Source organism: Homo sapiens, chromosome 3 (genome assembly GCF_000001405.40).
Source record: "Homo sapiens chromosome 3, GRCh38.p14 Primary Assembly".
Taxonomy (NCBI): Eukaryota; Metazoa; Chordata; class Mammalia; order Primates; family Hominidae; genus Homo; species Homo sapiens.
The window spans coordinates 54,922,432-54,938,129 of record NC_000003.12 but is presented as its reverse complement, the minus strand read 5'-3'; the positions used below and the strand labels follow the sequence as shown (position 1 = coordinate 54,938,129).

The following is a 15,698-nucleotide window of genomic DNA, read 5'->3' as shown; positions in this document are numbered from 1 at the left end:
CTCAGACACATGCAGAAAGGATTTGCCCACAACTGCCAACTCCACATCAAAGCTCAGGATCTGAGAAACGTGTACGGGGATTTCATAATGCTTGTGAAATCAACATCCTCTTTACCTCCTCTGAGAAGCATACTGAGGGACAGCAAGGGGCTTTTCTCTGGTTATGGTCAGATGGTGAAAACCAATGGTTTTCAATATTAATAATAAAGTGACCGGGAGATGAGGTCGGGGACAGCAACCAGCCTCTCACCCCTTCTCCAGCACCTGCTTGCCCAAGCTCCTTCCTCACCCTCTGTGCTGTGATCATGCCCGCCTTCTGCTAGTCCCTAAGATGCTGTGCCATCTCACTGGCCTCTCAGCGTAACACATGCCATGCCTTTACCTGGAATGGCCCTCGTCTCTTCCCCTCTCTGTGGTAAATTCTGGCTAGTACTTCAGATTTCAGCCTGGCTATAACATCCATTGGGATGCCTGCCCTCACCTCTCAGGCTGAATTGCCAGACTGCATTCTCTTATGGAACCATGTACCTCTTTTTCCTTGCACTTTTAATGGCTGTACTTTTTCATATACAGTTGACCCTTGCACAACACGAGTTTGAACTGCACAGGTCCACTAATACACAGATTGGAAAATACATAATTTATGGAATGTGAAACCTGGATACTTGGAAGGTTGACTTTTCCTACATGTGGGTTCCACAGGGCCAGTTGCAGGACTGGTGCAAGCACAGATTGCTGGAACCAATCCCCCTCATATACCGAGGGACAACTGTATTTGCATAGTGGTATAATGAATTTCTGTCCCCTTTCTACACTGTAGTGGCCATTTGGACTGTAGGTCCATTCATTGAGCTGTGTCTTATTTTGATGCCTATGACATTCCCAAACACAGAGCTTTGCAGGTAGGGAACACTCAGTAGATACTTCTTTCATCAAGAAAGAATACACACAAAGGGGTCCAGAATGAGAGTCCCTTGAGCACACCTTATTTTTAAGTAAGGGTGTCTTCACCTTCAGAAGTGGAAAGCACCAAAAATAGAGAAACACCAGTCTCTAAGGGGTGAACACGGGCACTGCTCTTTCTCAGCAAATCTAACCACCTTAGCACCTCCTCACACACAGCGGCACTCAGCTGCCTTTCCAGATGCCTTCATGGTGGGAGCAACTGGAGGCCATGGATAGGAACTTATAAACATCAGCCGTAGCAGTGAGAGCATACACGGAGTTTATTTTCTCCTCAGCCCTCATTAGAATCACAAATGAAATGTTGACAACACATGAAGGAGCTTGCTTGTTGAACACAATGTTTCCACTCCTATCAACCTCAAAACTCTGATAGTCATGCTTCATGATGAAAGCTAAGCAGCCCTGGGGAGATGACTACATGCTTTCTCTAATTATGCAAGGATGGGAAAGAGGGCCTCCTACTAGCGACGGGCTGACTGGAGACAAGGTCCACAGGGAAGCCTTAAAAAATCACAGCACGAGCATGTAGTAGGTAACCCAATATGGGATTTTTGAATTAAAAGAAAAGATGAGAACATCACTATTGCACCAGAAGGGGAAGGTGCCCATTATAAACCTGAATGGAGGCTGCAGCAAAGTCAAGGCAGGGCCTTTATTTTGCTAACAAACATCCCACATGAAAGTGGTAGTTGCATGATACTAACAATCAACTTTCCTTTGTTTGTGGAGCGACTTTGATGACAAGCAGAGATATGTAGAGCACAAATTCACTGAGATTGCACTTGATTCTAGGCACACACACAAAGGCTTTATAATACGAAAAGATGGGGAGCTCTGTCCACGGGCAGAATACTCCTTTGCATTTAACTTGCCTGTTTTTGTACCAAGCAGATTAGTTCAAGCAGATACAATCTAAGTACCTAGTTGATACCTATAGACACAATAATAGAAGATACTAGCTAATGTATATTACTATGTGCAAAAGATTTTTTTTTTTTTTGCTATGATTCTCGTGATAAAAAACTGTTTAACCCTTTCCATAAATCTGCAAGCTGGGTTCCTTTGCACAGATGACGAAGTTAAAGATCAGAGAGGTTAAGTAACTCATTCAAGGCCACACAGCCAGTAAATGTTGGAGGCGGTATTTTTGAGCCTAGATGGTTTCACTCCAGATTCCATGTGTTTAGCAGGAACACTGTTCTAAAATGAAATGATTGGACTCACAAAGGGGATTCCTGAAGTGCAGGATGTGTAATGTGGGCTACAATCTAAGTCCTGCTTAAGACTAACTGTTTTCCAGAGCATTTTCAAGCTATGTATATATCAAAGAACTCATATAGAACAAACCTTAAAGAGAAAAAAGCATAACACAGACTTGTTATTGCTTCATGATATACATACAGTAAGCTATAATTTAAAAATATGAAACATACATTGTAATCTATTACAGAAACTGAACTATCACGTTATAGTAAAAGTACAAAAGCAAATAAAAACCCAACAACAAGAACTGCAAAAAACACTCATTTCATGTGTTAACATGAGCAAACAATCAAACATGAACATGAATTTGATTCCAATTTATATTCCTGGGGCACAGACAAAAGTAGCCACTCAAAAGATCTAAGTAAAACAACGTGTCACTGTGAGGCTTTGGCCAGGCTTCCTAAGCTGCCATGTTTCTTGATCCGTTTGTTTCTTTCATTAACTTTATGTCAACTAGCATCTGCCTATGTTTATTCCACCAGCCGCATGAGCTCACTAATTACCTTTAATCATACTTATCTGAAATGCATCTTTATCTTTACACATGTCCTGAGTGCAGGACAACTGAATGCTGGAAGGCTGACATTGGGAAGATATTGGAATGGGAAGTCTGTATTTCCTCTAACCCTGACAGTATAGGGAGGATTAACCCCCAAAATGCAAGTCTACCCCAGAGGTAGACTTAGATGGTCTACCTCTGCCACCATCTGAAGTTCCCCAGCAAGGACTTCTAAGAACTGGTTCCCTGAGAGTTAGACAGTGTCAGGGAAACCCTACCTTGTTCAAACAAAATCACGTGCAGTCTTCTCATGGAAAACAGGTTCAAGGTGATGAGAAAACTGCTAAATAGCACCCTCCAGACTTGGGCGCCATGGCTCATGCCTGCAGTCCCAGCACTTTGGGAGGCCAAGGCGGGTGGATCACTTGAGGTCAGGAGTTCGAGACCAGCCTGGCCAACATTGTGAAACCCCTGTCTCTACTAGAAAATAAATACAGAAATTAGCGGGGTGTGGTGGTGTGTGCCTGTAATCCCAGCTACTCGGGAGGCTGAGGCATGAGAATCACTTGAACCTTGGAGATGGAAGTTGCAGTGAGCTACGATAGCGCCACTGCACTCCAGCCTGGGCAACAGGTGACACTCTGTCTCAACAAAAACAAAACACAAAAAAACAAAACAAAACAGACTGGTGAGCTCTTTGAAGACCAGGAACCAGTATGCAATATCTTTTCTAGTCTACACAGAACCTGGCTAAGTCTTAGGCTCTGTGGACACGTGGATGCTGAAAAGAAAGATTTTGGCCACTGTCTTCCTTAGCTTTAGGGAGGCTGGAGGCATACATTTCAAACCCACTACTCCACTAATTTTATCAGGCAACTCAAGGCCTGCTAAAGGGAGTTCAAACTCCGCTGATATTCATATGCAGTAAACGGAATAATCCTAGGCATTCCTTGAACCTGAATTCTTACCTTATCAAAAGGGCAAGAAAAAAACAAGGAGATGAACACAACCTCCCCACTTTCTTACTAGAGAAAACGTATGGCAGCCTTGGTTCTCCACTGAACGGCTCAAGAGGGAACTATGTTCTCACCTCCTGAGTCAGAGCTTCCAGATAATTCAATTTACATCTTAATGTCAAAAGAATGGGTTGTGTAAAAAATGACCTTAGGGCATAAAATGAATACAACTATAGGTTCCCTTAATATTGTCCTAAACGTTGGTACTCACAATCCATGTGTTTGCAACAAATAACGCTGGAAACCTTGGGTAAGTTTTTACCTTCTCCGTCCCTGTTTTGTAATTTGTATCAAAAGTAATAGTAACATCATGGATGGGCACAATGGCTCATGCCTGTTATCCCAGCACTTTGGGAGGCCGAGGCAGGTGGACCACCCCAGGTCAGGAGTTAGAGACCAGCCTGACCAACATGACGAAACCCCGTCTCTACCAAAAATACAAAATAATTAGCTGGGCATGGTGGTGTGTGCCTGTAATCCCAGCTACTCCGGAGGCTGAGGCAGGAGAATTGCTTGAACCTGGGAGGTGGAGGTTGCAGTAAGCTGAGACCAGGCCACTGCACTCTAGCCTGCAGTGGCCTGGATGACAGAGTGAGACTTTGTCTCAAAAAAAAAAAAAAAAGTAATAGTAATATCTTTATTCATTCAATATTTACTTAATAAACCTATTAAGTGGGTTTTGAAGAAAGTATGGGAAACAAACAGGTCATTTGAAACTTAATGTCTAGTGAGTTGTTGTCACTTTAAAGTGAGATAATGCAATAAAATGTGGAGGCAGAAACTGCTATGATCTCCAACAGCTATGCCTCCTCTTCTTCCAAGACACACTGCTAGACAACATTTCCCAGCATCTCTTGCTGTTAGACATGGTCATGTGATTTAATTCTGGCTAATAGAATGTGAGCAGAAGTGGTAAGTACCTTTTCCAACTGATGGAGAGGGCTCTGAGAGCCAAGAAGAGGTCACAGCCAAAAGGTGGAAGAAGCCTGGGTCCCTGAATGACACCATGGAGCCCAGGCCCCTGTCAACCTGAACTAGACTGTGATAAGAGAAATAAATGAGCTATTCTGTTAAACCACTGAGATTTGGGTGTTGTTTGTTAAAATAGCATAATTTTAATACAAATTATTAGCACTATGTGCCCCATTGTAAGCATTAAATACATGATTAATGGGATTGTCATTTTAAAATATATTCCTAGTTTTCTATGTTTCTTATTTTTCTATCTCTTATAGGATAGTAAATCCAAAGGCAGAGGTCCAGAAAGAAGGAAGGAAGGAAGGAAGGAAGGAAGGAAGGAAGGAAGGAAGGAAGGAAGGAAGGAAGGAAGGGAGGGATGGATGGATGGAAGACAATATTAAAACTTTAAAATAGCTCTGTATAAACTGTGTACCTGGGTGCCGTTTGGTCATCCACAATTCCTAGGAAACTATTTTCACTATTATCCACATGCCTCCAATGTCAAACTTTCTTTCTAACCAAACGAAATTTCTGCATGGATTTGTGGTGCCAAGGGCCTACTCCCCACTATTCCTGGCTGCAGCTGTCACTAGGCCTGGCTGCCTTCCCTGGCATTAGATCGCCATACCACATGGTTTGGATGAGGAGCCTGTTGACAGGGATGGAGGAGCACTTGGCCATGACTTTACCAAGGCAGACCTTACAATTGGGAGAAATGCTCATATTTGTTATAAGGGCTCATCACACGTAGAGACCCCTTGGCAGAGAAAGACAGATGTTACCTGTGGGGCTAATTCTCTTGGTGAGAGAGGAGGCAAACTCTAGGCATGCTATATTTACACAGATAACTCAGCCAGTCACTAGAAGATAAGACATCTCAAATATTCCAGTAAAGGAAATGTGCCTTTACTTGCTTCTTAATTTTTGTTGTAGCGAGTTGAATATACAGAAGTATAAGCAGAAAACATTTATTTTCCCCTCTTTTTCTTTAGTCTCCCCTCCAAGTAATCAGCATTATCAGTTTGGTGACTGACCTTTCCCACTTATTCCATTTTCAGACAAACCAACGCGTATTTATAGGGTTAATTCCTCCATCTCTAACACTTTTTTGAATATAAATGGGATTATACAATATGCTTCCTATTCAAATTGCTTTATTTTGCCTCCCACTTTATTATGAATATTCTCCCAGATGGGTATATTTAGTTCTAATTATTCTTTTTCATTTATTATTATTATTTTTTGAGACAGGGTCTCACTCTGTTGCCCAGGCTGCTGTGTAGTGGCGTGATCTCGGCTCACTGCAGCCCACTCTTGGGCTCAGGTGATCCTCCTACCTCAGCCTCCCGAGTAGCTCAGACTATAGGCGCTCACCACCACACCCAGCTAATTTTTTGTATTTTTGGTAGAGATGGGGTTTAACCATGTTGCCTGGGTTGGCTTTGAACTCCTGGACTCAAGTGATCCACCCACCTTAGCCTCCCAAAGTGCTAGGATTGCAAGCGTGAACCACTGAGCCTGGCCTTTATTCTTTAAATACCTGTGTAATATTGCCTGGGAGAAAGAGCTATTACATGCTGGATTTCAAGACATTGTCAATTTTATTGTAGGGTTAATAATCATTGATTTTTCATTTCAGGGAAATTAAATGGTAAATAGACTAACATATTAGAAAACATTCTGGCTTAAAAAGGGCAAAAGAATATGTCTCAGAAGCTTGGAAATTTTTGAAATCTCAGTGTGAATATAAACACAATTTTACTCTACGGGTGCATCTGCAGCTAGCTCCCATGTGGGAACCTGGGGTCCTGGCAGGTCTTGGGGCCAGGAGACCCTCATAGTGCAGTTCTCCTCTTTAAGGAGTGGCTCTGGCCTGAGCTGCATTCAGCATCTCTCCTTGGTTCCTCTTTTTGCAAGCATGGCTGTCTTGCCACCTCTTGGATCTGCTCACCACGGGAGGGAGGGAGAAAGAAAAGGCACTGCCTAGCATTAGCATGCATATCACACACCCTCCCTTTGTTCTCTTGGCTGAGGTCAGATGGAATAAATCAATCAGCCTCCACATCCAAGTGTCCGGGGCGGGCAGTCCAGGCCATGTGTGCATTGTCCATCTTTTAACCCCCAATTGGGGTCAGCATGAGTAAAACAGAACCAAAAAAACCCCTTGGGCAGTAAGCAGATGTTGCCAGGAACCCATTAGCTCTGGGGCTTCTCTAGGAGTTTCCTGGGCATTCGTGTTTTAGGTGGGAGCAGCCAGCTCAGACTCTTTGAAGTCTGTAAATCCATGCTGCTAGTAAGAGATGCCACTTTGTTTTTTGTTTTGTTTTGAGAAGGAGTCTCACTCTGTCACCCAGGCTGGAGTACAGTGGCACGATCTCGGCTCACTACAACCTCTGCCTCCTGGGTTCAAGCGATTCTCCTGCCTCAGCCTCCTGAGTAGCTGAGATTACAGAAGGCCACCATCACGCCCAGCTAATTTTTGTATTTTAGTAGAGATGGGGTTTCACCTTGTTGGCCAGGCTGGTCTCGAACTCCTGTCCTCAACTGATCCACCTACTCAGCCTCCCAAAGTATATTGGGATTACAGGCGTGAGCCACCATGCTTGGCCAAGATGCCACTTTGGATCTTTTGCTCTACCAGATATGTGCTAGGCACTTAAGTATCACTTGATCCTCCCTGCCTCCGGCGAGGTAGGTATTATCTACATTCTACAGATAGAATGCTGATGCTCAGAGAGCCTGGGATTTTCCCAGGACCATAGAACTTTAGGGAATAAGCAGCATGAAAGTGTGCTTCTTCATTTAGCTTTTAACCAGAAGTGTCCTTGACTGCCTTTGGTTCTCTGCCAGGGTCTTGACCTCCAACATCCAATTGTGCTGTCAATAGATTGATCATTTTCAGGCCCCCAAGTCTAAGATATCTGGATCCCAGCTGGGCCTTATAGACACAGCTAAATATCTCCACTATAACCTAAAGAGGTATTTAAATTCTCTGTCTGTCTAAGCCCCCTTAAAGCTGGTAAGTAGAGTGCCTTTCAATCCCATTTATGCTTTTTGACCAGAATGACAAGGTTCTGGACATAAGAAGGCCTTAAAGATCATCTTACCCAACCCCCTCATTTGATAGATGAGGCAACAGGAGAGTGGATATGTTTGCCTGGGTGGTGGGAGTTGAGGGTGGGTGACAGGTGGGGTGGTGGACTAGTGAGAGCAGTTGCCAGAGGATGGGATAACCAGAGTTTGCAGATCACAGCCTGTGGGCCGATCTATGCCTCTACCTGTTTTTGTAAATAAAGTTTTATTGGAATGCAGGCACACCCATTGATTTATGTATTGTCTTTGGCTGTTTCCAAACTATAACAGCAGAGTCCAATAATTGCAATGGAGACTGATGGCTCTTAAGGTCTAAAATGTTTACTATCTGGCCTTCACAAAAAAATGTTTCTGACCCCAGGGAAAGAGAGAGGCACACAGGTAGATATGAGTTATTAGTAACTTTCTAGTTCTTAGAAGGAGTGTTAAGTTCACAAGTGTTTGTTGTGTTATGATAAATTAATGATTGAATGCTAATGGGGGCCATTGATGGTTATGTATGTATTTCCATTAATAATGGAAATTATTGTCATTAAATTCTGTGCACCTGAAACAGATGGATAGGAAGGAGGGATTGGAAGGAAGGAGGGAAGAAATCATTGAGTTCTTAAGATTTAAGTGGCTCTTCATCACCTGACTTGCTTTGTCACCTACACCTGACTTTTGCCCATTGTATGTGTGATGCTCAAAAAAATGTTGGAGAGAAGGACAAAAGATGGCAGGTTGCGTAAAGTGGGCTTTCTGGAAGAGGCAGGATGAATATACTGGGTTATGTGGGGTGACAAGGGGCTTGGCCAAAGGATGAAAGAGTCCACAAAGTACAGGTTGTTGAAAATAATCAAAATTTGATGTTTTCAACTTCCATTCACAAAGGGCCTCTTCCCTTTGTACCTGCAGAGTGGCACGAAGGGCCAGGTTCCATGGCCCTCTGTCAAGACCTCCCTCAGGACATTCCTCCTGCTGACCGGTCCAGGTTGTCCTCAGAAGTTGGCAGCATACAAATCCTGAAAGCCTTTCTCATGCAAAATTGTGAACACTTATGAAGACACTCTGGGCCATGTCGTGTACTGCCATATTTAATCCTGGGCACAGCCTGGTAAAGTAAGGGCTAATGTTGTCCCCATGTCAGAGATGGGGCTCTGGGTGGGTAAGTCACTTGCCTGGAGACACGCAGCTGGTGATGGTGGAGCCAAATATCGACTCTGGACCCACCTGATTCCAGAGCCCAAACCCAATGGCTCAATTATACCTCCTGGAGCCAAGGATTGCACTTCATGCTGCTTCCATAAAAGCGTACACACAGTTACACACAGCAGAACATTTTGTTTTATCTAGAAGGGCAGCTTCAGGGGTTGAAACCCCACCTCAGCAAATGGCAGGGGATTTCCACATTCAAAGAAACGGTTCCAGTCCCTGGTGGGAAAGTTCCCTGAAGCTTCAATTAGAGAAGAGTCACAGTCGACTGACGCCTGATGCTCACAGGGGGCGGCTTTATTGTTTTATATGTGAAAAGTGAGGGAAGGGCCAGGACCTCAGCATCAGGGAAACGAAGAAAGATTAAGAAGTATTTCTTAAGTCACACTAACCAAAAGGTCAATTCAACTCGGGGGCTGGGGAGTGGGTGGGGTGTGGGGGCAGCAAGCAAGCAAGCAAGCAAGCAGCTGAGAAGTTATTTGTGGCACCAGAAGGAAGGTTGTGATGTCCACTAAAGGAAACCATGGCTATGAATTTCAGGGCATCAAGACCCTGTCAACACAGCTAATCCCCACAGATGTTGGCTGAATAAGACTTCGATGACCAAAGAAGTGCACGGTGCAAACCGTGTCAGCCTCCAGCAGGCCAATTTGTCCTCATATTACACACTCTGCGGGCTCTGCTGCTCGACCCCCAGGTGAGGGTCCCGTCCAGCATCCCCCAACCCAAAGAGGGGTGACCCGGCATGGTTAATAAGTCAACAGAATTCAGAAGCCACAGCCGGATTAAGAAGGCAGTTTTATTTTGGTGCCCTGTACTTCAAGCAGATTAAATAATCAAAAAGGCCGAGGCACTGGGGTCATGTTTGAATGCTACAGCTGTTCACCAAGGTTTGACAAACATTCTTTACGCGGCTCATCGTCTGAATGGGAAAGGCAGGGATGATCCTGGGGAGGCCAACATTTTAAGAAAGAAGAGGGGCACGATCCCAAGATCCTCTTATGGAAACTGATCCCAGCCAGATGGAGACAAGGGGAAGGGCTGCTTAAATAAATGGTCTTTTGAAAGCAACAACTGTTTTCTGCATTGAAGAAAAGCAAGGGCAGGGTTCAGAAAGACTGAATGTAAAGCTGGGCTCTGAGTCTGCCATGCCCTTCGTGTGTTGCTCTGCACATTAATTAAAGGGTCTACGAGGTCAGCAAGGACGCCCAAGGAGACTCAGTCATGAAAGGTGAGCCCTGATCAATTCCCGTTGGAAAAGTTCTTGTCTGGGAGAAAGATGGTATCCCCTCACAAAGGTATCTGCGGGAAATCTATTTTCAAGTCGTCTGTCTTAAAAGACTGGACAGATATGAAAAATGTCTCTGCATGGAATGATTTATGTTTGCGCATGTTGGGTGCAGAGGAAGAGGGTGGAGAGAAATGTATGCAGTCATGACATGAATATGTAGTTGGCATGTCACGGGCCATTTCATAGGAAACATGGTGCTTGTAGTTGGAGTTCGTATATTATTCCTTTGGGGGGAAAAGTGGAACCAAAGAAAGAATGAACAAATTGGCTACAATCTCAGAGAGGCAAGCCTTTCATTAATAGATCAGTGGATTCTGCGGCAAACATGTTCTCTGGTTTAAGAATTAATTTCCTGCAACTAATTAATGCTTGAGCCCCACAGCTAAAAATGAGGGGTGTCCGTTCATTACTGAGGGGAAGATGTTTTGGCTTTGAAAGGAGTCATTTAGATTATTTGCAAAATTATAGAAAGGAAAACAGTGGTTTTGCTCTTTGATATTCTGGAAAGGGGAAGGGGACTGTGATGTTCTGCATCCCTTAAACTAAATTAAACTGAGAAGACTCTCTTTCAGAAGGCTCTCTAAACATCTTCCCTATTGCCCTAGAGCACTGTTAGCCTCAGTAGAGAATTTAAGGAAGAAAGGGGAAAAGGCTCAAGTGCATGACAGCCATGCTGTGTATTTCCCTAGTTAAGGCCCAAAACAAGCAAGCAAGCAAACAATCAATCAAACAAAGCCCCTTTCAAGAGCTTCCACTTTGAGTAGATAACTATTTTGAGTTTTGGATATTACTGTGTGGCTCATGAATTCCTCTACCACTTTATAGTAAAATGCCCTTGGCAGATGTTTGTCATATTTTGAAATTCAAGTCTCAAAAAAAAAGAAGGGAGTGTTACAGCTACTTTGGTGAATGACAGAGCAGTATCTAAGAAAATGTGAACTTAATCTCCTCTCTGAGCCCTGTGAGAAGATTTCTCTGGATTCCAGAGACCCTCTCCCAGTTCCTGCACAGCCAAGGCAGTCTGAACAAGGATGCTGTTTTACAGCATCATTTAGAATGAAGAAAAAAACTGCAACCGTTCAACTACCCCTCATAAGAGTGGGGGTAAATATTAATACTAAATGTGGCATGCTCTCACCATGGAATATGCTACAACAGTTAAAAGGAATGAATTAGCTTTCCACGTATCCATGTGGATAGATCAGTTTTCAGTGAACAGAGCAAATTGCAGAATGAGACATATTGATGATTACATTTATCTGGATTTTTAAAAAGTGTTATGTAAAACAGAGTGTGTGTGTGTGTGTGTGTGTGTGTGTGTGTGTGTGTGTGTGTGTGTATTTGACAGGCAGTGGAGCACAGTAGATAAGAACTCTGACAGACTCTGGAGGGAGGAAAAGTGGAGCACAGTAGATAAGAACTCTGACAGACTCTGGAGGGAGGAAGACAGCCTTGGTCCTTATCACAGCTCTACTATAATACTCTGTGTGAACTTGGGCAAGTGATTCAGCTTTTCTGTGCCTAGCTTCCTCATCTTTCAAATGGGGATAATAATGGAACCATATTTACAAGGTTATGAGGATTAATTAATATACATATTTATAAAGCACTTAGAATGGTAGGTGGCTCAAAATGCATGCTATATGTTTATTTGAGATTTTTGTCATTACTAATGATTGTTTTTAAAATGTCTGGAGGGATACATCAGTAATGGTGTGAGGAAAAGGGCTTATGCTGGAAAATAGAAATTGGGCATGAATCAAAGTAAGTTCAACTGCATAAGTAATGCATTGCTCTTCTGAGTTGAAAGAAAAAAGAATCAAGGAAGTACAATAACCCATGAAGGACTTGCAGAACTATTATAGAAAATGGGTATTTATTATACTATTCTTAATGCTTTTCCATATTTTTATAATCTTGAATAAAAAAGCAGCAGACACTATCCTTGTTCATGGAATTACAACGGCAAAAATGGATATCAATACGTAGCAGCGCTTTAGATCTGCCCTATCCAATACAGTAACCATTAGCCACATGTGGCTACTGTTGTTTAAAATAGTTAAAATGAAATACAAATAAAAATTCAGTTCCTTGGTTGCAGTAGTTGCATCTCAAGAGCTCGGTAGCCACACATGGCTATTGGCTCCCATACTGGAAAGCAGATGTAGGACACTTCTATCATCACAGAAAGTTGTATTAGACAGCACTGTTCTGCAGCATACTTTACAGAAATGTAAGTATCTGAAATCCTCTAACACTCTTTTACACATCTGGCCCCAAATAATTCTGTTGTGGCCTACAAACGGCATATACACCCCAAATATTTTTTTTCACCCTTCTATTTGATATCACTAAGTCTTCCATCTTCCGAATCAGAAGACACTGAGAGTATCTTTCTCAAGGCTTCAGACGATAGGTGGCACAAAGACTGCAGAAGGTAATGACACTGGGGATGTACTCTGACCAGCCTGGCTCTACTAAAGACGGTGAGTGACAGAACCTCTCTTGCAGGTTGTAGAAGGTTTCACCTGGCTGGAAAGCACATTACCTGTAAATTCAAAGGCGGAAAAGTGCTGATACCACACCTCACAAACTGGTTCCTATCCCAATTTCTTTCTGTTTGTTGTAGGTGAACTGCTCCTGTTTTCCAGTGTGATTGTCCTGCTCCAGGTGGTATGCAGCTGCCCGGACAAGTGTTACTGTCAGTCATCTACAAATTTTGTAGACTGCAGCCAGCAGGGTCTGGCCGAAATCCCTTCCCATTTACCTCCTCAGACTCGAACGCTGCATTTACAAGATAATCAGATACACCATCTTCCTGCTTTTGCATTTAGGTCAGTGCCATGGCTCATGACCTTAAACTTGTCCAACAATTCCCTTTCAAATCTGGCCCCTGGAGCTTTCCATGGGCTTCAGCACTTGCAGGTTTTAAATCTAACCCAGAATTCACTCCTTTCCCTGGAAAGCAGACTTTTCCATTCCCTCCCTCAGCTGAGGGAGCTTGATTTGTCATCAAACAACATAAGCCACCTTCCCACATCCTTGGGAGAGACTTGGGAGAACCTAACTATACTTGCGGTTCAACAAAACCAGCTTCAGCAGCTTGATCGAGCGCTCCTGGAATCCATGCCCAGTGTGAGGCTTTTACTTCTCAAGGACAACCTCTGGAAATGCAATTGCCACTTGCTCGGTCTTAAACTCTGGCTGGAGAAATTTGTCTATAAAGGTCAGTCATGTCTATTTGGAACCCCCCATCTGTGTGTTACCAGCCTAGGATGAATCTCATCTGTTCTCTGCATTAGAAAGAATGTGGAGGAGTGTGTAAGGGGTGGATTTGGGCTTTTACACATCGGTGCCATTTCACGGTATGGCAAAAGAGTCAAGTGAGTCATTAGAAGGTGTTTAAATTCAGGTTCGAAATTAATCTACAAATATGTTGCATGGAGATAACTTTCACTTGTTTAATTAATATAACAAGAAGTTACTTATCTGGGAGTATGCTATTAAGAAGGAGGACATTCAATCACCACCTGAATAACTGCTCAACCCCAAATAACACCAACCTCTTATTATCAAGTCTGATCCAATTGTGGGTATGGTTATCTCTCTCTGGGATATTTTTCTCTCTTTGTCTGCTTCTACCCATTTGACAACTGTAATTCTTTTCTAAAATTGTCCTTTCTGCTTTAGCAAACACCAATGTCACTGAAATTGGGTGCAACAGGGCCTCTCTCTAAAGTTACTCACAATTTCTTTAACATGATGACAACAGCAAAGCAAGAGATCTCAGACTATTAAAGATGAGGGACTCTGGAAACCACCCAGGGTTAGCAAACTACAGCCCCAGGGCCACAGCCCATCTCCCGTTTCTGTAAATAAAGTTTTATTGGAACACAGCCATGCCCATTCATTATATAATGAGTGAGTGGTTGCTTTGCACTATAAAAGCAGAGTAGTTGTGACAGGGGCTGTATTGTCTATCTGGCCCTTTACAGAAAAGTTTGCCAACCCCTGTTGTCAATGGGCAACAGAGTCCCAGAGAGGTTCAGTGACTTGCCCAAGATCACAGAGCAGAAGCCCAGGTGAGAACAGAAGGCATGGCTTTTGGGTCTTGACCCGACATTCTTTCCTCCACTTCACAGTGCTTCACTCTTCCTAGCTCTCAGCATGATTCATTCATTTCTATATTTGAGTGCCTTTTGTATGCCAGGCACTGAGAAGATGGCAGTGCCTAACCATCACAGAGATTCCATTCTGGTAGTAGAAACAGATGTTAAATAAGATGATAAATAAAGATACATGTTTAGAATAGCAGTTAGTGCTAAGAAACAATGAGGCAGGGGAAGGGGAGAGTGATAGAATGTGGGTCTCATTTTTGATAGGATGGATGGGAAGATGTCTCCAAGGAGGTGACATGGCTGAGCAGAACCCAAAGACTGAGGAGGAATGAGCCATGAGATAACTGGGGGAAGGAATAGTGAACGCAAAGGGCTTGATGAGGGGGAAAACTTGGCTTGGCTGCAGGACAAAAAGAGGGACAAGACAGTGGCCAGTGCAGAGGAAGGGAGTGAGTAGACACAGACAAGACAACACCAGTACTTGGGGGTCAGATCATGCAGAAGTGTGCAGAGAAGGCCAAGATGCTTGGACTTTAAGTGAGATGGAAAGCTCTTGAAGAGTTTTAGTCAAGGGAACAATAGGATCTGATTACAATGTAAAAGGTCACTCTGTAGACTCTTGGGAGAACTGACGAAAGGCTGCAGAAGAAGAACCAGGGAGATGAGGGAGAAGATGATTTCAGTCAGCCAGCGAAGATGATGGTGGCCCAAACCAGGGTGGTGAGACATGATCAATGCTGGGAGATACTTGGAATACTGAACTGGCAGACATTGCTAATGGGTTGGAGTGGATGACTAAGAGAAGACCATAATTATGGGAAAGTCTATTTTGATTTGTCCTGCAGTGGTAATCAAGTAAATGGTGATGCCTTCAGCTGACAAGGGGCAAAGAGGGGACTGGGGGGAGTGAGTGAGTGTGTTGGGGAGGTGGTCAATTAGGACTTCAGCTTGGGGCATGTCAAGTTTGAGATGTTCTGTACATATCCATGGGGAGTCGTTGAGTTGGAGGTTGTATATTTAAGCCCGAAGCTCAGGAAGATGTTGGAGCTACAGACATGAATTAGGGAAGTCAACAGTGTCTGCATGGTTGTAGCGGTTCTCAGCGGGAATGAGGTTAGGGTGAATACAACATGGGTTAAAACGTACGATATTGAATAAATCCTTCTCAACAATGTAATAGTAAATTACATAATCAATATCCAGTCGACATTCAAGCCAACCAGCAACAGGAGCCACATACTATGGCAACATCTTCCTTATAAGAGGTTACAAATAAAATTGTTTACGTCTACAGG

The 15,698-nt window shown here is 43.4% G+C and overlaps 2 protein-coding genes across 3 annotated transcripts in view; one reads left to right on the top strand and one right to left on the bottom strand.

Moving 5' to 3' along the window:
* Positions 1–15,698, bottom strand: part of CACNA2D3 (calcium voltage-gated channel auxiliary subunit alpha2delta 3) — a 952,006-nt gene that overhangs the window by 136,428 nt on the left and 799,880 nt on the right. The gene's annotated exons all lie outside the window — the stretch shown is intronic.
* LRTM1 (leucine rich repeat transmembrane protein 1) overlaps positions 1–15,698 on the top strand; it is a 48,872-nt gene that overhangs the window by 28,973 nt on the left and 4,201 nt on the right. The window contains exons 1-2 of one of the 2 annotated variants that reach the window (NM_020678.4): positions 10,071–10,225; positions 12,915–13,511. In NM_020678.4, the coding sequence (NP_065729.1) occupies positions 10,219–10,225; positions 12,915–13,511 (604 nt within the window). In that variant the 5' untranslated portion in view covers positions 10,071–10,218. Of the gene's footprint in view, positions 1–10,070; positions 10,226–12,914; positions 13,512–15,698 lie in introns of those variants that run through there. The other variant, NM_001304389.2, reaches the window with a different exon arrangement.